This window comes from Homo sapiens, chromosome 12, assembly GCF_000001405.40.
Source record: "Homo sapiens chromosome 12, GRCh38.p14 Primary Assembly".
NCBI classification, from domain to species: Eukaryota; Metazoa; Chordata; class Mammalia; order Primates; family Hominidae; genus Homo; species Homo sapiens.
Genome location: NC_000012.12, coordinates 82,363,834 through 82,391,729, shown reverse-complemented (window position 1 = coordinate 82,391,729; position 27,896 = coordinate 82,363,834). Strand labels below are relative to the sequence as shown.

The 27,896-nt window shown below is 37.1% G+C and overlaps 1 protein-coding gene across 20 annotated transcripts in view; it reads right to left on the bottom strand.

Moving 5' to 3' along the window:
• Positions 1 to 27,896, bottom strand: part of METTL25 (methyltransferase like 25) — a 120,711-nt gene that overhangs the window by 87,510 nt on the left and 5,305 nt on the right. For 13 of the 20 annotated variants that reach the window (NR_144942.2, NR_144941.2, NR_144940.2 and 10 more), the window contains exons 2-3: positions 4,763 to 4,927; positions 1,808 to 1,914 (exon numbers count right to left, since the gene is read on the bottom strand). Coding sequence is in view for 11 of the 20 variants with exons in the window: in NM_032230.3 (NP_115606.2) it covers positions 1,808 to 1,914; positions 4,763 to 4,927 (272 nt within the window). In the remaining 9 variants the exon portion in view is untranslated. Of the gene's footprint in view, positions 1 to 1,807; positions 1,915 to 4,762; positions 4,928 to 22,169; positions 22,346 to 27,896 lie in introns of those variants that run through there. The other 7 variants (XR_007063137.1, XM_011538827.4, XM_047429660.1 and 4 more) reach the window with 3 other exon arrangements.

Sequence of the window (27,896 nt, the reverse complement as noted above, 5' to 3'; positions counted from 1 at the left end):
AAAAAGGAAATCAGTATATGGAAGAGATATCTGGACACTCATGTTTATTGTAACACTATTCATAATAGCCAAAATACGGAAACAACCTAAGTGTCCATCAATGAATTTATGGATAAAGAAATGTGGTATATATGCACAATGAAAAGTTATATATGTTTTATATAACATTTATACACACACACACACACATATACTAACAAAACATCACACTGTACAATTAACATAAGTTCATTTATATCTCAATAAAGTTAGGATTATGGACAAATTTTGCACATTGGCTAGAAAGTGATTAAGACTGAATTATATTTAAAGTGTAAATAAATCTTACACAGTGATACATCATTATATTTTTAATAAAAAGAAAAATCTGTAAAACCAACCCCATAGGAATCCTGACTAAAATCCCTTTCATATAGTACACATTATGTTTTGGCCACTTCTATATTTTCCTGCTTCTGCTTTGTATTCCCAAACTAAATGACTGGGTCTTTGCCTTGGTTTCTATATAAAATCTAAGTCCAGTTCTTGTTCTGCCTCATTCAGACCAGATTTCCCCTCAAGACTGGACCTTTACTCCATTCTCCTACTCTGTAACTGGATTCGTACCATCCATGTACAGAACCTGTATCCAGCTTAGCTGACTACCAGTTATCTGAATTTTCTGTCTTTAGGGCTCTGTCGTCTCCAGTGGACTTGCTGTTATATTAACTGATGCCTTAAGTCTGAGTTCATTATGCCCCTTTTAATTCTAACTAAATTATGTATTTGGTCCTCTAGAGACCAATCCCATTATTACTGCTCTTAATAGAGGTTGGCTGCCACCTGAAAGATATTTAGAAACAGCACTCGCTCCCCAAGATTTTGATATGGCACCATGGGGGAGGGCTTGCCTCTTCGACTCCGGCTAAGTATCATTGCCATAAGGCTGTTACTGGTACTGACAGATATTGCTTAGGTATGAGAATCTGGAGAAAAGGCTGAAAACTAGTATTACCTTAGCTCTTACTCTATACCCACCCTAGAGATCCATGTTGCCACAAGTGGCTCTGCAAGCCTATGCCAAACTTTCATAGTTTTCTAATCATCCTCAAACTCTCAAGTTTTGATGAATCCATGGAAAGATTCTAATACCTAATAAAAATTACAGGAAGGAAAATCTCCATTACCACCACCGATCTTCTTCTAGAGATAAGAAAAAACTTACTATTTTTATAAACAAGGAATAAGAAAAATAACTTACTATTTTTATAGGCCAATGTGTACAATCATTAATCTTATTTTAAAATCTACTATCCAATATCATTATCTACCATAAAAACTATTTTTCAAAACAGGAATGCATTGTGAATCAAACACTATGATATAATCCAAGTCTTAAAAACATAACTACTTTGTGTTACTATAATGATGCAGGTATCCCAGACCACAGCTTGGTAACCCATATCCTGAAAACATCTAGCAGCAAACAGTTTTGCAGAATGTCATCCTCATAATGCTACCTCAGACTGGAGAGAAAATTTATCAAAGAGAATTAAGCTTAATTTCTGTCCACTCTGAAAAGAATGAAATGTGTGGCAAAACATTAACAGTCATGTCTTGATTTTACTATAAATTTTCTAAAATTACAATATACTAGGAAATAACAGTGTATGCTTAAAGAATCTGATGTTTAAAGGATCTGATGTTTAAATGATGCTATTATTTAATGACATTTTAAAGGCTAGCTGACAGTAAAAAGGTGAAATATGAATAATACCAAAAAGTGGCAATAATTTTAACACCTAAAAACATACGGAAATACTCTTACCTGCTTTATTCCATAGTAGTCAGCAATACTGCTGATCAGCTCTGACATTGCCTGAACTTCATGAGATTTCTTCATATTCATAAACTCAACTGCCTTCTGATTTTCACCTAATGAAAATAAAAGTAAAAACTGCTATTAAAGAATCAAAATTTAGTAGGAATTATCAGTTAGATGTTCATATTTTTTGAAATTAAGTAGGAAAATAATACAGAGATTCTACTGTGGTTTCTGGATAGATCTCTACTAGCTTAGCCACTATAAATAAAAATTTAAATTAATAAAGTAAATGTAAAAATCCATAGAACATTAAAACTATTCCGTAACAATTAACTATAATGGAAAAGACTGGTAAAGTGGACTACAAAAGAAATTTTTCATCAAAAGACAACATTATGAGGTAAAAAGGCAAACCCCAAATGAAAGAAGATAATTCCAACACATATATCTACAGAGAATTTGTATCTAAGAATAAAATAAAACAAACTCCTATAAATCAATACAAAAAGAATCACCCAATAGAAAAGTGGGGAAAAAAACTTAAACAGTCATTTCATTACCTGTGCTGTCTAATATAGTAGCTGCTAACCACATGTGATTATTGCAATTTACACTAAAATCAAATATAATTGAAAATTAACATTCTATGCTCCACTAGCCACAGGTGAAGTTCTCAACAGCCACATGTGGCTAGTTTCTACTGTACTGAGCAGCACAAGCACAGAACATTTCCCTCATTGCAGAACTACAGTACTATACGAGTATACACTGTATGCTACACATTATAAAGTATATTAAAATGGCCAAAAAGCATATGACAAGGTAGTCAACATCATCAGTGATGTGGGAGTTGAGTGGTAGGGAACTGAAATGTAGGACTGGAATGGTTATTATGGCACGACAGTGTTCATATCTGTGAATGCCTTGGTATAGGCTTAACCTGGGATTACCACATTGGGATACTGGGTTTTAATGAGGTCTTTCCAGGTGTTAAGTGCTGGTTACTCATGGTCCTGTAGATGGAAGGTAGCACCTTCTTGGTAACATTCTGAGGGCACTTTAGGACATGGTCTCCATCAGAGAGGTCTGAATTCCACAATGTCATTCTGTTGGCAGATACTAACCTAGTAAACAAATATGCTGATTACTCCAGGATGGGGAATATAGCCCCTCCACTCTCACTTATCACCAGCATGCATCTCTCTACATGGCTAAGTCAACTCTTTCTTGTACTGGACACAACAGAGTCCATCCAGACCTTGAATGGTGGTTTTGCTGTTTGTTCTTGCCTAGGATATAACATCTTTACTCACTTTGATGCCCAAACTGTGGCCCTTAAACTTTATACATTGGGGGAGGGGCCAAGGATTTATACCCTTGATGCAGAGGTACACTCATTTATTGCCAGTCAGCAGCACCTGGGATAGAGTGTTCTCCTTAGACCTTTCATTGCCAGTCGACTACAGCCCCCATAGTAACGTTGCTAGTGAACCCATTTGCAGCTATAATGGTTCTTACCAAGAGCCATAATTCACCAAACAGCCCCTCTCTTGCTCCAGGGGGAACACTATGAAATAATTTTGCTTAAAATGGTTAGAGAGATTTAAAAAATTAAAATAATAATAAAAGAATTGGACTCAAAGATAAAAGGGTCCTTTTACAATGGAGAACTCCAGTAGACCCACCTTTACCAAGTGAGTAAACTTAGGGTCACCAATAATGTGACAAAATTCTATGTGCTTCCTAATTTGATATGTGAAAAAGGAATCACTTGAGTAGTACTCCTATCAAAAATGCATAACCTGAATCTAATGTTGGGGAAACAATAAAATAAACCTGCCTATAGATATCAAAAGTATCACTGTCAGGAAAAACAAAAGCAAGGGTAAGAAACGATTTAAGATTGAAAAGACTAAATAGACATGACAACTAAATGCCAGGTATGAGCCTAGACTAATTCCTGCATGAAGAAAAAAAAATGGCTCTAAAAGATATTCTTGGAAAAAGTAAAGAAACTTGAATAGAGACTGCTTATTACACAATATTACTGTATCAGAGTTAAACTCCTGAGTGTGCCAATAAACTATGAGATGTGTAGGAAAATGCCCTTGTTATTTTGAGATACAGAGTGAAGTATTTGAGAGTAAAATGCTAAAATATCTATAACTTATGTTCAAAAGATTCAGAAAAAGAGTGTGTGTGTGTGTGTGCGCGTGTGTGTGTAGAAGAGAACTACAACAAATGTGGCAAAATGTGAACACATGGTGAATCTAGGTGAAAAGTATACAGGGTCTATTGTACTATTCTTGTAACTTTTCTGTAGGTTTGGAAATTTTCAAAATAAAAAGGTGGGGAAAAATAAGGATCAAATAAGAGATATGAAAGAGGTTTGTGTAAGATAAAAGAATCTGAGTTTTTTTTTTTAACCACAGCCTTCTGATCTCTGCCTTTTAATTGGCATGTAGAAACAATTTACATTGAATATTATTATAGATATGGCTGAGTTTTAATCTACCACATTATCATATTTGTTTTTTTAATTTGTACCATCCCCACTTTCTGACACTCATGCTTCTCCCCACATCCCCAAATGTCCCCTTCCACTCTTCCCACCCTCTTCCCATAGAGAACATTAGCCTGCTGCAACAAAAATAATGTAGATTTTGGAATTTGTAGTAGCTCACTGTGATCTGTGTTTGAGGGGCAGGAACTATCTGCAGTAGAAGTTACAAGAGTTACAAGAAGTTACAAGAAAAAAATGTGGACATCTACAAGTTGTTCTGTTTAATATAGTACAAGGGGAAAACCTACACTTCTAAACAATAGTTAATTTGTCAGGGCTTATATATTAAGGTCTAACAATAAATTAATAATATTTTGGAAAGATACACATATATGAACAAAGTATTGCTTCTAAGTACCTAAAAAGCACACATACACACACATAAATAGACATACCAATTCTCTGGTTTTGATTTCCTCGAAGGGCTACAAGCAACTGTTCAAAAGGAGTACATATTCCCAAGTTTTGTACAGAATAGTATTTCGCAGCCAGAGCAAAGGCTTCCACACTCACCAACTTCTGAGAAGTTTCACAAAATATTTTGGGAAAATCAGTCATACCTAAAAAAGTGAAGACAGAAAAAGTCTTCAGCAATAATTAATGGTTAATTAGTGTGATATTAATAAACAACAAATGAACACTTAATTTGTATAACAAATGCCAATATTTTCATTTTGTTGTGAATTTTGGCAATATATCTAATGGCTCCATTTATATTTACTATTTAAACGATTAGCTATATGGAACACCCAGTTTTCTCTTAATATTTTATGCAATTAAAAATTGAAACTCCAAATTACAATCAGGCCTTTTTTATGGAAAGAAAGAGACAGAGACAGAGAGAGAGAAAAGGGAGGAAGGAAGGGAGGGAGGAAGGAAAGGAGGGAGGGAGGAAGGGAGAGAGAGAGGGAGGGAGGGAGGGAGGGAGGGAGGAAGGAAGGAAGGTAGGTTGGTTAAAATCTGAATAGTGATGTATTTATTAAATTTACGAACTGTCCTGGCTGGCCTATAACTGTGCATTTAAAGGTAGTCAGCCCGGGCAACACTGTTACTCCTTGTCCACAGTGCATGAGGAACAATGGTAATATCCCCAGTGGTATATAAATGTCCCTGCAAAACAGTTCCTGCATCATTTGGATGATGCAGACTTGTGGCAGGGGGGCGGGGTGCACGTGCTCAATGCACTGTCAATATGAGTTCCAAAACGAATCAGGTTATAACCTGGTGAAAACAACTCATTTTCTTCCCATGGCCAGTTTTAAACCAGACTTTCTATAAGCTTAGTGTGTAAATGTCAGCAGTTTCCAAATACTCACTAATTTAGACTAGAATGATAAACTGTTGTGCTATTTGCAAATATCTAGTGCCCTTCTCTGTAGGAGGATCATGAACCTTGTTGAACTCAGGTGTGGCTGTATCTTGCCAAGGTGAACCATACCATTTTCAGGAAGAAGTTTTAAGAGTGTCAGAAGATTCAGTACTCTTTTTTGTCTCAGCTCTGTAATCAAAGCATGTGTCAAGACGGAACATTCCTCAGCCTGAATCCTTTAGTGACTACAGCAAGGACAGCATTACTATCAAACTACAATGAACACAAAGCATATATTAAAATTAAATTTCATTCCTTTCAGTAAGTGAGTTTTAAGTTTATTACTGCAGCACACCCCTGCTTATTATGATGGATGCACATAGGCACACTGACAGATTAGTTCAATCTCATTGTTCTATGGCCATTTTTAAGGCAAGTTAATTTATTTAAAAGAGTTAAAAGAAAGCCTTCCAATTTGTCTGTAGTGGTTCAAAGGAGCTCAATAGACGGGAAAGTCCAATCAGGCCCATTCATTGAAAATTAATTTTGAATAATTCAAAAAAACACACATCTTAAAGGCTTAAATGAAGTATGCAAAACGTTCACCTCATGAAACCATGCTGCAATCTAGGGAAGAAGTTTAGTTCTACCAAAAAAATCCATACTATAGGCTATGAAGTCTTCTCCAGCATAGCTAATCTTCTGTAGTTACTTATTAAATTAAAAAAAATTCTTAAACACAAAAAATAGTGATGTTACCTGACAAAACTTAAAGCAAGATAAGTAAGATAAGTGATGAGGGTTTGTAGAATTCTAAATAAAAACTACATATTTAAGCTAATATCTATTAAGCTGGTGGTGGTAATGTTTACCAAATTCATTAATATGAATAAAATCAGCAGATATATATACCTTCCATTTCTGAATCAACTAAACATAAATTAAAATTACTAGAGTAAATTAATTTAAGATATATGTTGTGAATGATGTAAATTTCTATGGATATTTTATAAACTGAATTTACTAACTCAGCCAAAAGTAATAAAATCCACATCAAAATATTTAGCCATGATACAAACTGGAAAACTCAGTCAACTATTAAGTGAAATTCTCAGGTTTAAGGGGAGTCTCAACATCCCCAAGCTCCAAGGCAGCAATTTTGTAGAGTGTGATAGAATAAGAGTATTAAATCTCCAAGTGCAAAGGGACCATTATAATAGTTAGCTATTGGACAATGTTGCCAAAAGAAAGAATTGTGATATTTCTGTTGGAAATGTAAACGTTAAAATCAACTTAACTATCCTACAGAAAAAACTTGAAAAAAATCCAATCCAACATGAATTAAATGCTGTTAATTTCCTTTAAGTACAGGTCTCAGCAATTTCAGAAATTTAAAGATCTGAGTTACAATATTATCTTTACAACAATATTTTTTTTTAAAAAAGGGTAGTTTTCTAATTCAGTCTAACAGTTTATGGTATTTTGGTCTAACCCTAGTTTTACTCAGATAGTCTAGAACTCCATGAAAAAATATTTTTGAATTATGGAAATATAGCTGCTGTACTTTATTTGTTTTCAAGTTATCCAGCCTGTAACTTCCATTACTTGCTATTTTTAAAGATTCAGAGAGAGGGAGGGGGGAGGGAGGGAGGAAGACAGAGAGAGAGAGAGAGAGAGAGCTGTTTATGATCTAGTCTTCATTCCATCTCTGAAACAGTTATGTGAGAAAGTTATGGGACAATAGCAATACATACATATATTCCTCACAGTTCTTCCCTAGGTACTTGTATAATCGCTTTGGATTTGGCAACCAGCAAAACAGAAATTCCAGTGTTACTTAACTTATATTTAGTAAATTAATTAGTACTTAGATTTTTTATGAAGGGAAAACTTTAAATTTGCTGCCTATCGCACCTGCATATTATATGGCTTGATTGTTTGGCCTACATCTCCCTCTACTGGAAGTCCCTGTTCTGCTTTATACATGCTTTACTTATCATCTTTACTTACTCTTACTTTTTATGTACCCCATACCACTAGTCCACAGAGGTTTCTGATAAGACAAGTTATAAGATGGGTTCTTAAAAGATAGGCTAATTGGTCATAAGGGAAGAAGGGAAGGAAAGAGGCAGGAGAGATTATTTTCTACAAATATGAGACCAGGATATATCTCAGTTTATTTTTTTCAATTGTTTGTTTGTATACAAGGGACCAGTGTACAAGGACAAAGATAGAAGAGTCATATATATACACCTTGGATTATAAAAATCTCAAGGCAGAAAAACATATAATATTTTAAAAATAAAAATAAAGTAAAACAATCACTGAATGTATAATATTTATAATTAGTAAATAAAAATAAATGTCTGTCATCCTACTTGAATGTTATACAGCACTTTAAGGAAAACAGAGTACTGTTAGGTCTTACAATAATTCATCCCTATTATTCTAACATTTACTGTATGTATACTATGTGCCAGGCACTGTGCTAAGCACTTTACCTTTCATGTGACAGTTTTATAAGTAGACATAATGCTCTTATCCTCATTTACAGAGGAAACAACTGAGACGTAGGAAGGCTGTAATGTATCAAAGTTTGTACAGACACTAGGTGGATGAATCCAAGGTAGTATGAATTAAGACCTTGGTCTTAATTCCCACATTCCATTAGCATGCCACAGTTGTTAAGTACAGTGGACAAACAAAGAAAATCAAGCAGGACAGCAGTAAAGAAAAGCATTGTCCCAGCTACTTGGGAGGCTGAGACAGGAGAATCACTTGAACCCAGGAGGCAGAGGTTGCAGTGAGCCGAGAACGCGCCACTGCACTCCAGCCTGGGTGACAGACCAAGACTCCGTCTCAAAAAGAAAGAAAAGCATTAGGGAGACCTGACTCTCAGAATCAAGTCTGGCAAGTATTCCCTCTGGCAGAGATCAATATACAGTGATATCCTAAGATACTATATTTTATTAATTATTTCACTTTCTTCACTCCCCTCTACACCTCCCTCTCCACAAAAAGTAATTTTAAGGTTTCAAGAAATTAGCTGGGCATAGTGGCTCATACCTGTAATCCCAGCACTTTGGAAGGCTGAGACATGAGGATTGCCTGAGCTCAGGAGTTTGAGATCAGCCTGGGCAACATAGCAAGACCTCATTTCTACTAAAATTTTAAAAAATTAGCTGGGTACAGTGGCATATACCTGTAGTCCCAGCTACTTGAGGAGCTTAGGATTGCTTGAGCCTGCAAAGTCGAAGCTGTAGTGAACCCTCATCATGACACTGCACTCCAGCCTGGGCAACAGAGCAAGACCCTGAGTCAAAAAAAAAGTTTTAAGAAATTAAAAAGTCATTTTACATATAAAATAATTAATGTCTCTGAAAAAGAAATATCTTTGTAAAATCTTATTATGATATCTATTTGCTGAAACAAAGTAAACCTATGCTTTATGCCCAGTTGTAAAGCAACAATACTTTGCACAAGGCATGAATGAATTGCATGAATGACAGCAATCCCTCAGTACAGTTTGTAGCATCATCAACTATAAAAGGAAAATAAATTCTCCTAAGGCTCCATGGTAATAGCAATCACTGAGGCCACTACAAGGACTTCAATAGCCCAGGGAATGTTTATAATCTCAGGATGAGAAAAAGGTGATTTAAAACATTTAGAATGTGACATAAAGTAAAACGCAATTATGTACTAAATTTGAGATTTTGTTGTTACAGGGTTGGGAAAAGGTCACTAACATCATTATCACACAGCCTAGATCTGTCTCATGGCCCAGAGTTTCAAGAAGAAATCAACAGTGTCCTCTTAATTATAATCTTCACAATGACACAGAAGTATTTTGTATTCATTCCTGCATAAATGTCCTACAGATGTCTTCAATTCAAAAGGTTCAAAACTCAACTGAACATTTTCATGCTCCCAAAACCTTTCCCTTGTTCTATTTTCTAACTTGTTTAATAGCCTTATCACTCACCCACTGGCAAAGCTAAAAGCCTTTACATTACCTGAAATGCTTCTTGTGCCATCAATCCACATGCTAAGCCACCCATCAACTCTGATGTAAAAATGTCCTTCATTTGAAAACCCCCTCCCACATCACTACTGTATTTCAAACCTTGTTAATGCTCTCCAGTACTACTGCCATAGCTTCATAGTTGATTTTTCTCCCTTATCAATAAAACTCTGATAGACAATGCTCAATAGGTTGAGTTGAATTGAACATGTTTTCTAAAATGGAAATTTACTTTTATTCAATGCAAACTTAAACATTTTAAGGCTTTGCCTTCCACAGCAGTTGACTTTTGACTTAAATCTTTGGTAATTGTTTAATACAGCTTAACCGAAAGCTAAAGTCTGTCTTATTGAACTTTGAAAATTAAAGATGGGATGAGTTAAGTTTTCCGAATGTTTTGAGTCTGTTCATAATCCTATACTGTACCAAGGGAAGAAAATAGAATATATACTATCGCTTTCAAAAGAAATTAATTTATATCATCCAATTATGTGCTAGAAAACATTTTGCCTAAGCTATTTCAGCTCACTTTATAGTTGCATATGAAGTGAAAAAATGTTATATAAACATGCAAACCATGCTCTTAGAAGGAATAAAATTAACAAGATATTGACATGCATGTCCTTCTTGTACCAATATTAACATCACATTGAATGTATAAAGTGCATTTAACCATTCCTAAAGCAGTTTCACACTTAACTACATTACTTATAAAAATGAAATTAAATGTAAAAATAGAAAAATGTAACCACAGTATTTTAACTCTAACAGACTCTTCACAGTTTAATTTGAGGGAAAACAAAAATATGCAAAGAAATAGAAATTTAGAAATTGATTTGCTAAATAAAAAATAAACAATTCAGGGGTACCTACCATGTATAAGTTAAAAACTAAACTTGAATAAAGCTACTTTGTTATAACTTACGATTGTCTATGAGACTTAGTGTTTTACTATTTATAGTGTATGCAGACAACAAATGTTCAATATGGATTGAAGGGGGTTCAGCAACTCCCAGTTAGAATTCTATTGGATGCCACATGGAATGAGCTTACTCAGGCCTTTGCACTTGTTTTTACCTCTGTCTGAGACCACCTTCCCTCATGAATTTTCATGGCTCACTCTTCTTTCAGGTGTTTGCTCAAATGTTACCATTTCGGTGAAAACTTCTCTGACAGTCTTGTTAAAAATTGCAATCCCACTGAACTCTCATCACCCTCTGAGTCTTTATTAATTTTTTAAAGCACTTATCACCATCTGGTATAGTAAGCAAGATCCAAGAAGACAAGAATTTTTATTCACTGCTGTATCCTCAGAACCTAGAATAATGTACAGCACATAGAAGGTACTCAATGAATGAACGAGGAAGAACTAGGGTTTGAATTCTGGTTCTCAGAATGTCTATCCCTGTGGCCATGAGCAATTTATTTACCTGCTCTAAGACTCAATTTCTTCATCTATAAAATGGGGAACAATATCTATTTCATAGGGTTGTTTTATGTAATTCACACACATAAACAAATACATATATACACATATACATGTACATTCATATACACACATACAATTATGTACTTAACTACATATATATATATACATACACATACATATATAAACTTTTAAGGTCGGGATGCATGTGCAGGTTTGTTACATAGGTAAACTTTTGTCATGAGGGTTTACTGTACAGATTACATATACCATGGAATACTACGCAACCATAAAAAATAATGAGATCATATCCTTTGCAGGGATATGGATGGAGCTGGAGGTCATTATCCTTGGCAAAGTAATGCAAGAACAGAAAAGCAAATACCAAACGTTCTCACTCATAAGTGGGAAATAAATGATGAGAACACATGGAAACATAGAGGGGAACAATTAACTATATTTTAATATATATTCCTAACACGCAGCCTAGAACATAAATAGGCAACCCTTAAACCATTAAGTCCAAATTAAGTTACTGAGTGTCCTAACAATTGGATCAACTTTCCAAATTTATTGGAATATAGAATTTTTAAAACCTCAAATATTTAAGGCCAGAACATCTTACAGGCTACTAGAGAAGAAACTGAAAGATCAATATGCACACTTAGCTTTTAAATGTGGGACCTGCTGGGAGAAAGGAGATTTGGGCTCTGGAACCTGAGTGCAAGATCTCCATCAGCAGAATGAAGGCATGACTAAGGATGGATGAACTGCACCTTGAGAACCAACATGGAGGTCCAATAGTTAACACTGGATACTATGCTCTAGGTAGGATGAAAGCAAGAATTACTCAGTTTCTGTTAATCCACTGGTTAGCACTGGGCATCATGTCCCAGGATCAACTTTCAAGTGCAGGAGAGAGTTTTAGTATTAATGATACTTCTTACTAAATTTGATGTGAAATATGGTAGATATAATTTCAGCTATGCCTTAAATACCTGGAATAAAGTTTCAAGTTTGCTTCACGAGAATGTTTTAATTTCCCATAATCTCAAACTGTTTCAAAAAATAACAAAAAACAACAGATACTAAATTCCCAGAAATCCAATAAACTTTAAACTTCATTTAAAATGAGAAGCATTTAAGAATAAATTAAATATGTATAAATATTTTCTGAATAATAAATTCAAATTTGATAAATCAAATATAATTTTGTTAGCAAAATACAAATTTCAAATTGTAAAATGTTAAAAAGTGATGTAAAGTATACTAAAAATATATTTATTTCAGTGCAGTAATTGCTTTGAATTGATATCAACCTCTGTTCTTCTCTTTTTCTGACCAAAGATACATCATTTCTTACTTAGGTTGTCATTTCTGAACACCACTGTAGGCTCCACTGCCCCACAGCACCTCAAAATGTCACTACCTTAGTCACTGCCACTGCTACTGTCCATTTACTGAGAAGACCAATATCTCTCTTTATATCTTGATCTGGACCTAGACTTTTGGGCTTCCAAAAATAATTAAGACTTGTCAATTTGTTTATTATTGTTGCTGTTGTTGTCTTTTGAGAAAAGGTCTCACTCTGTTGCCCAGGCTAGAGTGCAGCAGCATGATCATGGCTCACTGCAACCTTGATCTCCAGGGCTCAAGTGATCCTCTCACCTCAGCCTCCTAAGTAGCTGGGATAAGGGCATGCACCACTGTGCCCAGCTAATTTTTTAAATTTATTTTTTCTAGAGACAGGGTCTCACTATGTTACTCAGGCTGGTCTCAAACTCCTGAGCTCAAGCAATCCCCCCACCTCAGCCCTTCCCAAATGCCGGGATCATAAGTGTGAGCTATTGCACCTGGCCAGTTTGTTTATTATTGAGGCAAGGCACATAAAGGATTCTTTGTCTCAGGAAAACTGTAAATTTAAACATAACTAAATTACTAATAAGGGATTTTGAGGGAGTAGAATTAAGTTATATCCCTCTCTTAAAACTGTATTTTTCTTTCCCGTTGTGCATTTCATTAATTTGAGTTCAATTTCATCTTCTATTCTTATTCTAAGCTCCCTTTCAACATTAACACAAAATAGATGTGTTTATTCTACTCTATCAACTGAATTTAGTTATAATCATTTGCCAAGTAAAAGGAAGAAGTGAAAGGTCTTTGCAGTAAACACATACTTTTTTTCTATCTAGCTCCTACCCTATCTCCACCAGATCTTGTTCTTTACTACTTCCTTAGTTTTTGTAATGATGTGTATAGTTCATAAAAGTTAGGTCAATTTTATTCTTTACAGGCCATTATTCAAGGTAATTGCTGTATAGAAAATAAACAAGTAAAATACCCAACCTAAATGTTAAATTTAAATTCCCCATTTGATTGCAATCATTATGTAAAAGGGAAGAATTAAGCCTCAGTGACTGTCATTGGTATCAGCCTAAAGACACTGGTCTGATACTCTGTGGCTGAACCTGAAATGCAGTGTTTACTCAGAGGAGAACCAACAGTTTTCAGCACTTGATAAAAATTAGTTAAATAAATGTTTGAAAAATGGAATATTTCTTAACAAGAAATCAGAAGATACACGAAAAAAAAATAGAGAAGAAGCACAAGTGTCGGCCTAAATCAAGATGAATTCAAACAATTGTAATACTAATAATGTTTTCAACCAGCAGTTCTTATCCTGATGTCTAAGAGTTTACAAGGGCTATGAATCACCTAAAATTGTATGTAAAGTTTTGTGAATATTTGTGCATACTTAAGCCTTTTTTTGATGCAGTGGTTCTATAGCATTCATTTAAATTAGCTATTAAATGGGATTTGTGACCTAAGATATTAACATTACTATCTTTCACAGTTTCCTTACCCTTCATCTCACACAATGTTAAATTACGACAAACAATTCAATTAACTGTTTTTTCTCTTGATTCTAGAGATTATTTTAAATATTCAAAGCAGAAAAACTAAGTAGTTTTTTACTTCCTAAACAATCTGAGATTATTCTTTTTTCACTGGTAGACTAAATTTCCTATTTCTAAAATTAGTCTAACTTTAAAAAACTAAACTTTACTCTCCAGTATTTTCATTATTAAACAGATCCTCTTTCATTCTTCACAATTTTAATTACTAAGCTGAGTTTTTTAGATAACACCCAGCTAACAAAAAACTAGAAATAATTTAAGATACCAAACATACAGGTCAGAATATTCCATTTGACAACATATGTTAATAACAGTAAATGGTTATAATAAATTTGCATGATGCAGGTTGAAATCTATAATAAAGGCAAGCTTATTGTCTTTTTGCATAATCCTAGAGATATGCTAGGTGACGCATGCAACCACTTGATCCAGAGAAGAATCAGCCACATGTGATATTTACTTTTTTGACTAAATTTTTTTTAAATTCATATATGAGATGAACAGAAAAAAAGACTAAAAACAAACAAAAGTAGAAATAAATTACAATATTTTCTTTCTTTCTTTTTTTTTTTGAGACAGAGTCTTGCTCTTGTCACCCAGGCTGCAGTGCAATGGCATGATCTCGGCTCAGTGCAACCTCTGCCTCCTGGGTTCAAGAGAGTCTCCTGACTCAGCCTCCCAAGTAGCTGGGATTACAGGTGCCCGCCACCACGCCGGCTAATTTTTGTAGTTTTAGTAAAGACAGGGTTTCGCCACATTGGGCAGGCTGGTCTCAAACTCCTGATCTTGTGATCTGCCCGCCTTGGCCTCCCAAAGTGCTGGGATTACAGGTGTGAGCCACAGCGCCCGGCCAATAAATTATAATATTAAAGTTTGCAAAGAAGATGAAAAATGACTCTCCCCCTCCAAAAAGTAATTATTTAAAGATAATTTAACAATAAGATTATGCTTCCACATTTGTCTTTTGTAGGAAATATTATAAAGTATTAAGCAGTATTAAAGGTTTATAAATGAAAGTGTTCCAGACAAAAGGATAGGTTCACTGTGTTTGGATAATGCTTTTATAGTCAATAGATACAAAGATAGTAAACTAAGATAAATTTTGAGAAATAACCGTTGTCAAAGATAGAGCCACTTGTGGTGAAACTCTGAATAAATTGTAAAAATACTGTTATGATTTAAATTAAAAATAATTGTCATAGAAGATTACTTCAGTTCCCAATAAAATGACATTGAAATTTTTAAGAAACACATGGAGAAGAATAAAATTATAAATGAAGAACAGCTTGACTTGCAGAAGCAGGGGGACTAGAATTTCTTGCAGAGAATTATCAAAACTAACTCATGAAAGCAATACAATGATTGAGAGATGTACATGTTTTTAATTTAGAAGATAAAGAATGTTGAAAAAGAGGGATGAATGTATGAGTTTAAAAATTTGTATGAGTTGAAAAACTTATCTGGAAAATGAAATCAACTAGTTTTCGATAAAAGTACTGTCACATAATTGGAAATTCAATAATTTAAAAAATATAAAGATTGAAAACCATTTCTTGAGCAATGCTCAGAGCATGGACTTTCACATATTACTTAATCTAGAAAAAGTATAATTCCTACATTAAATGGGAAGAAACTAGAATAAAATTCTGCTTAGAAAGGCATAATCCATTCATCTTCCATTTTGTTTTGTGCTACAATTATTGATATCTGTTATCCTCCTTATTGAGATGTACATTTTTGAAGGCAGAGGTCATACCTGTTGTACTGGCCACAACTACAATTTCATACTGATAAAATGCTAAGTAATTTTTGCAAACCTAAATTGGGATATAAGGGTAACCAGGCATTCTGAGGTCATAAGGGATAAATTCCACTGATCTATTCTTAATTCTATTAATGACCACAGTATTGAAGAATACTGATATTATAAAGGCCATAAAAGAGATGCTCAAAGGTTGTCTATTCCTTCTTCTCAAACATCAGTAGGTTTAAATTCATTTCAATCACTTCTGGACCTCACTAATTCAGCCTACTGCCCAGAGTAGTGACAGTTTACACTTGAAACATCTCAATCATTTCTAAAAACTTAAGGTAGTAGGTGAGTGATTGGGAGGCAGTGAATGGGACTTCTTAAATATCTCTACATGGAAGACCTCAAACACAACTGTTTCAATCCTTTCCTGCTATAACAAAATACTTGAGACTGGGTAATTTATAAAGAACATATATATATTTTTTTTTTTCCTCACAGCTCTAGAGGCTGGGAAGTCCAAGAACAAACCAATCGCCAGCATAGTTGGTACAGATTGAGGGTTGCTCTCTGCTTCCAAGATGGTGCTCCTTGCTACATCTTCACATGCAGCAGGGGTGGTCAGCTTCCTTGTACCTCTTTTATACGGGCACTAATCTCATTCATGAGTGCTCCACCCTCATGACTCAATCACCTACTAAAGGTCCTACTTCTTAATACCATCACACTGGCAATTAATATTTAGCATATGAATTTGGAGGAGCATATTCAGACCACAGCAACATATATCTAAAATGCAATACATTATTTCCCCAGCTTCCTCTGCTGATTCTCCTAATTTTGCTAGTGGTACCATTTGTTCATTATTATTCTGTAAGTTTGCAATCAAAATCTTGGAATTACCTTTGATTCTTCCTTTTCTCTAAACTTTATATAAACAGTCACCAAGCACTACCAATTTTCTCTGTACAGCATCTTTCAAAACTATCACTTCCTTTCTATTCCACTGCCATCACCTTGTCTCAGCACACATCCTTCATCTCTAGACCACTATTGTCCCCATGGAAGGATGATTTCAAAAAGTTTAACAGCCAAGCCTCCAAAACTATCTGCAATATTTTTTTCTGACATTATTTTTAGCTACTTAAAAATATATTAATACTTTGCTCCATGTTTCTAACTGTCCTGAAATATGCTTTATAATTTTCCAGCTTCACCCTTTTGCTTACACTGTTCTATACACTTGGAATGCCCACATACTCTCTATGTAACCATATTAAATTCAACAAACAGAGGTGAATCCAGCTGGGCTTCTGGGTCGGGTGGGGACTTGGAGAACTTTTCTATTGAGCTAGAGGATTATAAATGCACCAATCAGCACTCTGTGTCTAGCTAAAGGATTGTAAATGCACCAATCAGCACCCTGTAAAAACACACCAATCAGCACTCTGTGTCTAGCTACAGGACTGTAAACGCACCAATCAGCACTCTGTGTCTAGCTAAGGGATTGTAAACGCACCAATCAGCACTCTGTAAAATGGACCAATCAGTGCTCTGTAAAATGGACCAATCAGCAGAGCCAAATAAGGGAATAAAAGCTGGCCACCCCAGCCAGCAGCAGCAACCTGCTCAGGTCCCCTTCCATGCTGTGGAAGCTTTGTTATTTCGATCTTCACAATAAATCTTGCTGTTGCTCACTCTTTGGGTCCACACCACCTTTAAGAGCTGTAACACTCGCTGTGAAGGTCTGTGGCTTCGTTCTTGAAGTCAGCAAGACGAACCCACCAGAAGGAAGAAACTCTGGACATATCTGAAGGAACAAACTCCAGACACACCATCTTAAAGAGTGTAATACTCACCGCAAAGGTCTGTGGCTTCATTCTTGAAGTCAGTGAGACCAAGAACCCACCGGGAGGAACAAACAATTCTGGACACATTTTGGCGATCACAAAGGGACTATCACCAAGCAGTGAGTACCATCAGACCCCTTTCGCTTGCTATTCTGTCCTATTTTTCCTTAGAATTCGGGGGCTAATACCGGGCACCTATTGGCCAGTTAAAAGCGACTAGCATGACCTCCAGACTAAAGACACAGGTGTTAGACTTTCTGGGAAAGAGCTCTCTAACAACCCCTGGCTCTTTGGAGTTGGGAGCACTGGTTTGCCTGGAACCAGCTTCTGCTTTTCCTGTACTTCTGGGCTGAGCCAAGGGTTGACAGAGAGAAAAGCCAATCAGCTCCAGGGTCCCACAAACAAGTTGGTTGACCTTGCAGCCATGAGTGGAACTCTCAAAGTTATGTCGCCCCAGCGAGACTCACTCATCTATCCTATCTATCCTGACCCTTGCCTCCTGGGTCCTAATGCCTGTCAGACAAACTTTCTCTCACCTCTCTTCTCCAAGGCTAGTCCCGCTTCTAAAAACCACTCCCTGTCTCTGATGCTTTTCTAGTTTCTCCTATATGAATGATTTCTAGCATAAACTCCAGGACTCTATTCCCTTCTTTAGGCACCCGGGCTCACCAATCAGAAAGACATAATTTTTGCCCAAAGCCCCATTGTAGGAGGGACTATCTTGAATTTTAGGATCCCGCCACAGACAAGCAGGCCTAACAAAAGCTATTCCTGAAGCTAGGATATGGGGAGCTTCAGAAATGATATCCTTCCTATTCAAGTGAGGACAAAAGGTGTCACTCTTCCAACCCTCGAGATCCCTTCCCTCCCTCAGGGTATGGCCCTCCACTTCATTTTTGGGGCATAACATATTTATAGGACAGTGGTAAGGTCCCAATACTAACAGGAGAACGCTTAGGACTCTAACAGGTTTTCGATAATGCATCAGTAAGGGACACTAAATCCGATTTTTCTTGGGCCTCTTTGTGGTCTAGGAGGACACGCAAGGGTGCAGGTTTTCGAGAATGCGTCGGTAAGGGCCACTAAATCCGACCTTCCTCGGTCCTCCTTGTGGTCTAGAAGGAAAACTAGTGTTTCTGCTGCTGCGTCGGTGAGTGCAACTATTCTGATCAGCAGGGTCCAGGGACCGTTGCAGGTTCTTGGGCAAGAAGTGTTTCTGCTGCTACGTCGGCGAGTGCAACTATTCCAATCAGCAAGGTCCAGGGACCCTTGTGGGTTCTTGGGCAGGGGGAGAAACAAACAAACCAAAATCACAGGCGGTTTTGTCTTTCAGATGGGAAACACTCAGGCACCAACAGGCTCACCCTTGAAATGCATCCTAAGCCACTGGGACCAATTTGACCTGCAAATCCTAAAAAAGAGGTGGCTCAGTTTTTTCTGCACTATGGCCTGGCCCCAATATTCTCTCTCTGATGGGGAAAAATGGCCACCTGAGGGCAGTACAAATTACAATACTATCCTGCAGCTTGACCTTTTCTGTAAAAGGGAAGGCAAATGGAGTGAAATACCTTATGTCCAAGCTTTCTTTTCATTGAAGGAGAATACACAACTATGCAAAGCTTGCAATTTACATCTCACAGGAGGACCTCTCAGCTTACCCCCATATCCTAGCCTCCCTATAGCTCCCCTTCCTATTAATGATAAGCCTCCTCTAATCTCCCCTGCCCAGAAGGAAACAAGCAAAGAACTCTCCAAAGGACCACAAAAATCCCCAGGCTATTCGTTATGTCCCCTTCAAGCTGTAGGGGGAAGGGAATTTGGCCCAACCCAGGTACATGTCCCCTTCTCCCTCTCTGATTTAAAGCAGATCAAGGCAGACCTGGGGAAGCATTCAGATGATCCTGATAGGTATATGGATGTCCTACAGGGTCTAGGGCAAACCTTTAGTCTTACTTGGAGAGACATCATGCTATTGATAGATCAAACCCTGACCTTTAATGAAAAGAATGCAGCTTTAGCTGCAGCACGAGAGTTTGGAGATACCTTGTATCTTAGTCAAGTAAATGATGGAATGACAGCTGAAAAAAGGGACAAATTCCCTACCAGTCAGCAAGCCGTCCCCAGTATGGATCCACTGGGATATAGACTCAGATCATGAGGACTGGAGTCGTAAACATCTGTTGACCTGTGTTCTAGAAGGACTAAGGAGAATTAGGAAAAAGTCCATAAATTATTCATTGATGTCCACCATAACTGAGGGAAGGGAAGAAAATCCTTCTGACTTCCCTGAGCAGCTACAGGAGGCGTTAAGAAAATATACTCCCCTGTCACCCGGCTCACTTGAGGGTCAATTGATCTTAAAAGACAAGTTTATTACCCAATCAGCCACAGATATCAGGAGAAAGCTCCAAAAGTGAGCCCTGGGCCCTGAAAAAAATCTGGAGGCGTTATTAAACCTGGCAATCTTGGTGTTCTATAATAGGGAACAAGAGGAACAGTCCGAAAAGGAAAAACGAGATTAGACAAAGGACACAGCCTTAGTCATGGCCCTCAGACAGACAAACCTTGGTGGTTCAGAGAGGACAGAAAATGGAGCAGGCCAATCACCCGGTAGGGCTTGTTATCAGTGTGGTTTACAAGGACATTTTAAAAAAGACTGTCCAACGAGAAACAAGCCGCCCCCTTGTCCATGTCCACTATGCCAAGGCAATCATTGGAAGGCACACTGCCCCAGAGGGCAAAGATTCTCCGGGCCAGGAGGCCCCAACCAGATGATCCAACAACAGGACTGAGGGTGCCTGGGGCAGGCACCAGCTCACGTCATCACCCTCACTGAGCCTCGGGTACTTTTAACAATTGAGGGCCAGGAAATTGACTTCCTCCTGGACACTGACATGGCCTTCTCAGTGCTAATCTCCTGTCCTGGATGACTGTCCTCAAGGTCTGTTACCACCTGAGGAATCCTGGGACAGCCTGTAACCAGGTATTTCTCCCACCTCCTCAGTTGTAATTGGGAGACTTTGCTACAGATAGTAAGTGTGTTCATTTAATCCTACATGCCCATGTTGCAATATGGAAAGAAAGGGAGTTCCTAACCTCTGGGGGAACCCCCATCAAATACCACAAGGAAATCATGGAGTTATTGCATGCAGTGCAAAAACCCAAGGAGGTGGCAGTCTTACACAGCTGAAGCCATCAAAAAGAAGAAGGAGAGAGGAGAACAGCAGCATAAGCGGCTGGCAGAGGCAGGGAAAGGCCAGCAGAAAGGAAAGAGAGAAAGAGACAGAAAGTCAGAGAGAGAGAGGGAGGAAGAGACAAAGAGGGAGTCAGAGACAGAGAGAGAAAGAGAGAGACAAAGAAGGAGTCAAAGAGAGAAAAAGATAGAAATAGTAAAGAAAAAACAGTATACCCCATTGCTTTAAAAACCAGGGTAAATTTAAAACTATAATTGATAATTGAAGGTCTTCTCTTTACAATCCCAAATAGACTCTTTGGCAGCAGTGACTGTCCAAAACCGCCAAGGACTAGACCTCCTCACTGCTGAGAAAGGAGGACTCTGCACTTTCTTAGGGGAAAAGTATTGTTTTTACACTAACCAGTCAGGGATAGTATGAGGTGCCACCCAGCATTTACAGGAAAAGGCTTCTGAAATCAAACAACACCTTTCAAACTCTTATACCAACCTCTGGAGTTGGGCAACCTGGCTTCTCCCCTTTCTAGGTCCCGTGGCAGCCATCTTGCTATTACTCACCTTCGGGCCCTATATTTTTAACCTCCTTGTCAAATCTGTTTCCTCTAGGATCGAGGCCATCAAGTTACAGATGGTCTTACAAATGGAACCCCAAATGAGCTCAACAAACAACTTCTACCAAGGATCCCTGGACTGACCCGCTGGCCCTTTCACTGGCCTAAAGAGTTCCCCTATGGAGGACACTACAACTGCAGGGCTCCTTCTTCACCCCTATCCAGCAGGAATTAGCTAGAGCAGTCACTGGCCGATTCCCAACAGCAGTTGGGGTGTCCTGTTTAGAGGGGGGATTGAGAGGTGAAGCCAGCTGGGCCTCTGGGTTGGGTGGGGACTTGAAGAACTTTTCTGTCTAGCTAGAGGATTATAAATGCACCAATCAGCACTCTGTGTCTAGGTAAAGGATTGTAAACGCACCAATCAGCACTCTGTAAAAACGCACCAATCAGCACTCTGTATCTAGCTAAAGGATTGTAAACGCACCAATCAGCACTCTGTAAAAACGCACCAATTAGCATTCTGTGTCTAGCTAAAGAATTGTAAACGCACCAATCAACACTCTGTAAAATGGACCAATCAGCACTGTGTAAAATGGACCAATCAGCAGGACGTGGGTGGGGTCAAATAAGGGAATAAAAGCTGGCCACCCCAGCCAACAGCAGCAACCCGCTCAGGTCCCCTTCCACACTGTGGAAGCTTTGTTCTTTCACTCTTCACAATCAATCTTGCTGCTGCTCACTCTTTGGGTCTGCATCACCTTTAAGAGCTGTTAACACTCACCGTGAAGGTCCGCGGCTTCATTCTTGAAGTCAGCAGGACCATGAACCCACCAGAAGGAAGAAACTCTGGACACATCTGAAGGAAGAAACTCCGGACACACCATCTTTAAGAGCTGTAACAGTCACCGCAAAGGTCCGTGGCTTCATTCTTGAAGTCAGCAAGACCAAGAACCCACTGGGAGGAACAAACAATTCCGGACACAAAACATTGAATTTGTACCTACTATGTGTCACTTACTATATCCTACACACCAGGACACACTGGAGAGTTAAAGAAAACTGGAAGTTAAAGAAAACAAATCATCATAACACAGTGGACTAAGTGCTCTAATGAAGCTATGAATAAAATAACATACAATGAGTAATTTCATTACTAATTTAGTGTAATCTGACCTGGGCTTTGAAAGAAGATGCAATATGAGTGAATATTTATTATATAGATGGGAGTAGGAAAGCTCTAAACAAACAGGATACCATGAACAAAATTAGAGAAAAAACACATGGTACATTCAGAGAACAAAGTGGCTAAAGTATACAGTTTAAGGGTAGAGGGAAAATTCCAAGAGAAGTGTTGATAATACTAAACCATTTCCTCAAACCTCTTCCCTTCTGCTTTGGCTGAAAATATATCTTAAAAATTAGGAACATCAAATTATTTCACCCATCTTCATAATCAAAGTTGATCAGGGGTCAGATCATGTAGGAAGTTGAATCATTTATTATCTAGGTGACCCACTGACTGGTTATATAGACTTTTTCATTTCAAGATCCAGATTGACACAGCCCTTCAACATGACCATGGTGTTAATAGCAGGGACTAATAAGGTCTGAGGATAAAATATTTAAATCATTGTATTTCCCTAGGATTTGAGAACTGGAAGAAACCCTAGGTATCTTTTATTCAATTGACTTATAACTATTTTTGGTTATCAGTCTCCTTTGAGAAGGTGAAACAAATTCCTGAATTCATTTTCGGGGGTATGAGGGAACTGATTGGAGCCTGCAACCCAAGAGCTGAACTTCTGGTACCTTAGGGGGCCAGGCAGATTACTTCTATTCATGAAGCTAGCTAGAGGAAACGGATATATCCCCCAAAAGAAAGCTGTCTGCCACACAGAGATATGCAACAAAATGGCCAGATCTAATGTTTTCCACAGAAGCTACAATTCCAGGGGTGTGTGTCTGTGTGTATGTGTGTGTTAAATCTGAAATCTGTCAATCTTGAAATGTTGGCTAAAAAAAATGTAGGCACCATATTGGTTAAATGAGATGTGTTTCTAAGCCACACAAGTCTGGCAGTGGCTATTTTTCTACCTCTGCCATAGGTGAACAACTTACGCAGTTACTTCTTGGATGAGAAAATTGAGCCCTACAGTTAAATGCCCTGTGCAAGATAACACAGCTAATCAGAGTTAGAGATGGATTAGAATCAGGTCTTCTGACTCTGCATCTAGTCTGCCTCCATCTGAGAGCATCAGAGTAGGAAGAAGGTGGCTATTATTTATTATGGGGCCTACTCATTTGCACACTACGTTTTAATATATATCTCATTTACTTTTATGGAGACCTTTCAGACAAGAATTAGGATTCCCATTTTTCAAAAGGGGAAATTGAGCTGCAAAAGCTTAACTAAAGTGCACAAGATTATGCAGTACTAAAGTATCAGAGCCAGGATTCAAAACTATGTGTGACTGACACTAAAATCCATATTCTTTCCATGCTATCTCCTATTTGTTTATATTAGTAGCCAAGTTCCAGCTGAAGAGCAGATACAAGATAAGGCCAAAGGTGAAGAACTTTATTTTGTAGGAAATGAAGAACTACTGATGGGTTTTGAGCAGAAGAATGACAAGATCAGAACTACGGTTTTGGACAATAAATCTGAAAGCTGTTGAGTGGCAACATGAATGAAATACAGTCTAAAGGCAAGAACAACAGGTTGGAAGCCATTACAAAAATTCTGTTGCAAGATTTAAAAAGGAGAGGTGACACTGAACTATTTTCTATGGGAATGAAAAAGAGCAAATGCAAGAGTAATGGAGGAAGAGGAATTGGCGGATTATGAACTGAGGTAACAGGAAGAATAATAATGTCATTTATAGAAGGAATGCTTAAACCACTGAGGTGATGAGGAGTAAACAAAATAAATACAGACTCCAGAAGGCATGAAATCATGTAGAAAAGTTTTTTTTAAAACCAAGGAAAGAATTTAAATTATGATAAATGATGATAACAGGTAACCATAACTATAAGCTTACAAGGAAAGTTTAATGATTTGATATAAAATTTTAAAAATCCAAACGAATAGAGGCAACCAAATATATGATGATTGGCTAAACACAGGAAAACAGTATAATATAAGTAGAATGAGGAAAAATGCAACAGATGAAAGGAATCTCCATGAACTCTGTTTTACTGAACTTCTAATAATTGAAAGATATGGGGAAAGGGGAAAGTAGTGGAGGAGGTACCATTAAAAATTAGAAAACAAATTTAAGTTCTAAATAGTTTTATTTAAAAGGAAAATCTGAAGACACTTTCTATATCTCAAACAGACAAAAAGAAAAATTATCCTTGGTTCTCAAAGATTTGTTTGCATTGCAGCTCTCTCTTACTTATGATTACAGAAGTTCCCCTGGAATGGGGCTAACACTGGCCACTATCTTGTTATAATGTAATATTATTTTTACATTTGAAATCTAAAATGACTCAGAAAAACTGAAAAAGAGAAAATGGAATTCAGAAAAATATATAAGGAAAGTGAATGAATAAAAGTTACATACAGCAGAGTAAAACAGAACACACTAATTATTTCTCCGTTGTGCTCTCACTGTCTGTTTCCAACAACATACTTTCTGCCTTCATGTGTTTCAAATTAAATATGAGCGCAATTTCAATGCATTCGAATTACTACCACCACCAACAATAAAAACTACTTAGGATGGCCAAGAAAACATTTAATTTATTAAGATGCAAAAAAAAAAAATAAAGACAAGCTTGATAAAAGAATAATCTATCATGGACATACACTTTCTGTGTTGTTCAATTAAAATGGTAGTAAAATAATTACACCAGATGATCACCAAAAGGAACTGATTCTATAAACATTTACTCAGCACCCAATCCTGGTAGGATCATTTGAGTAATAATGTGAAACAGGAGAAGCAGCATATGGCGTCAAGAAACTGAAAGAAAAGTCAAGAGAAAGTCCCTGGAGGCTCAGTGCCTTAGAGGATCCCTATGCTTTGGCAGGCACAGAAGCTGGAATTCCTGAGAGTTCATTAGGCTATCCCCAGCTAATTTAAATAACATTATAAGATGTTGACTTTGAAATACAAATGTATTAGTTTCCACTGAGAAATATACCTATAACAATAATCTGTAACACTCATTTGTTAGGATAGTCTCCTAATTTTAGAATTACAATGAGAACAAATGAGGCCAGGTATTCTTTTTTTTAAAATTTTTTTAAATTTTTTTGAGACGGAATCTCACTCTGTTGTCCAAGCTGGTGTGCAGTGGCGCAGTCTCGGCTCACTGCAAGCTCTGCCTCCTGGGTTCACACCATTCTCCTGCCTCAACCTCCCGAGTAGCTGGGACTACAGGTGCCCGCCACCATGTCTGGCTGATTTTTTGTATTTTTAGTAGAGACGGGGTTTCACTGTGTTAGCCAGGAGGGTGTCGATCTCCTGACCTCGTGATCCCCCCGCCTCGGCCTCCCAAAGTGCTGGGATTGCAGGCGTGAGCCACCGCGCCCGGCCGAGGCCAGATATTCTTAAAATTTTCAGCAAGCTAAGTAAGCTGCTTAAGTTGCTTCTGTTGTTTTGATCTATTTCTGTTTCATAAAATATTTTAGCTATCCTGACTTAGACTATCTCTCCCCTCTTGCTTTTCAGAAGAATTTTCTAGATTCCATTAAACAACAATTAATTTCTGAAGATCAATGATGATTCTGCTGAGAATGTTACAGATTTACACTTACAGTCATTACTTCCCAAGAACACAGTCTGGTTTCCTTGAAGGAGCTATAATGAAATCTTAATCTCCAAAATAAGATATAGGTCATATTTATCCTATCAGCAAAATATTTAGAAGCTGTCTCTACTGGCTTTTTTGCTGCAGATGGTTAATCTCGCCTATATTATGTACTAACTTTTAGACATTTTAACCTGAAGTGATACTTGTTCTGATTTTATGTCCAAATTCCCAGGGTATTTTATTGTAATCTGTAATGTACTAAATAAAGTACTATATTTCCACATAGGGAAAGAACAGTTATTGATTTGTGTCTCTTCAAATAAATTTAAAAATCTATTAGTTGGATCATATAACTAATATTTATTATCATACACAATGATCATAAATATAACTCAGGGATCAACCAGAAATAATATATGTCTAGTTGAGTACTAGGTATGTGCAAGGAGTGCCTTCAATAAGACTCTTTATTAGATCTATGTTTAACTTCATTCTTTCAAGAATTATTTAAACATGATGTACACAATAAACATACATAATTTTTATTTGCCAATTAAAAATAAACAATTTTAATGTAAAAATAGAATCATTTAATTTACTCATCTATAAACAGAAACTGTTTATGATGCTGAAAATAGTGAAAAAGACAAACATTGTACCTTTGTTTTTTGATAGTTTATAATTTAGTTGCAGATACAGACAAGCCAACAGACAATAACAATAGTATGTTATTTATTAATATGGCAAAAAATATATTTGTTTAGAACATAAACTTCCAGGAACTCTGGACAATTTATTTCTTCCAAGTAAAGACCTAATTATACCATCACTACCAATCATCATCACAACCATCACAATCATGTATTAGCCACAATTTATTAACCCATGCTATATTCTCAGTTCTATGCTAGGTGCTATGTATACATCATCTTTAATCTTTGCTGTCCTAGAAGGTAGGTAATATTATCCCTACTTTTAAAAAAGGAAAGAAAAAACCCCAGATGTAACAGACAGATGTCAGCTCATAGCTGACCTTGAACTAACATGTAGGCCACAGTCTTTCCTACTAAACATGAAAAATTTCTCAGTACACCAACATCAGACAAGGTTTGTGACCATGCCAACTTCATAATCATGTCTGAGTGCAGACAAAAACAAGAACGTCATGTAAACACAAAGTTGCCACAAAAGCATCCCCGTAGGAAAAGTTCACATGGTATGAAACTGAGACCTCATGCCAACAGCCTGCACCAACTAGCCACCTCCGTGAATGAGATATTATGGCCACCTATGCGAATGAAATATTATGGCCACCTATGTGAATGAGATAATCACAGAGGCAAATATTTCAGCCTCAATCAAGCCTTCAGCAACTACAGCCCCAGCCAACTTCTTGACTGTGACCTCTTAAGATCCCAAACCAGATCCACCCAGTTAATCTGCTCCTGAATTCCTGACCCACAAAAACTGATGAGATAGTATAGGTTTAAACCACTTGTTATGCAGCAATAGATAATACATAACATTAATACAATTGTGTGTCGGTAAGTGTGTACTTTTCATTTCAAAGGGGCATAAAGTAGGTACTATAATTAAATATTCCTTAATACCATAGTTTCCTTTAATTCTCCCAGTGTATTTTCTTGGAGCTCTTTAAACATATTTATAACAGCCACTGAAATCCAACACGTTAGCCCAATTAGGATCAGCACTTATTGACTTACTCTTTTTTTCCTAAATACGGGTCACA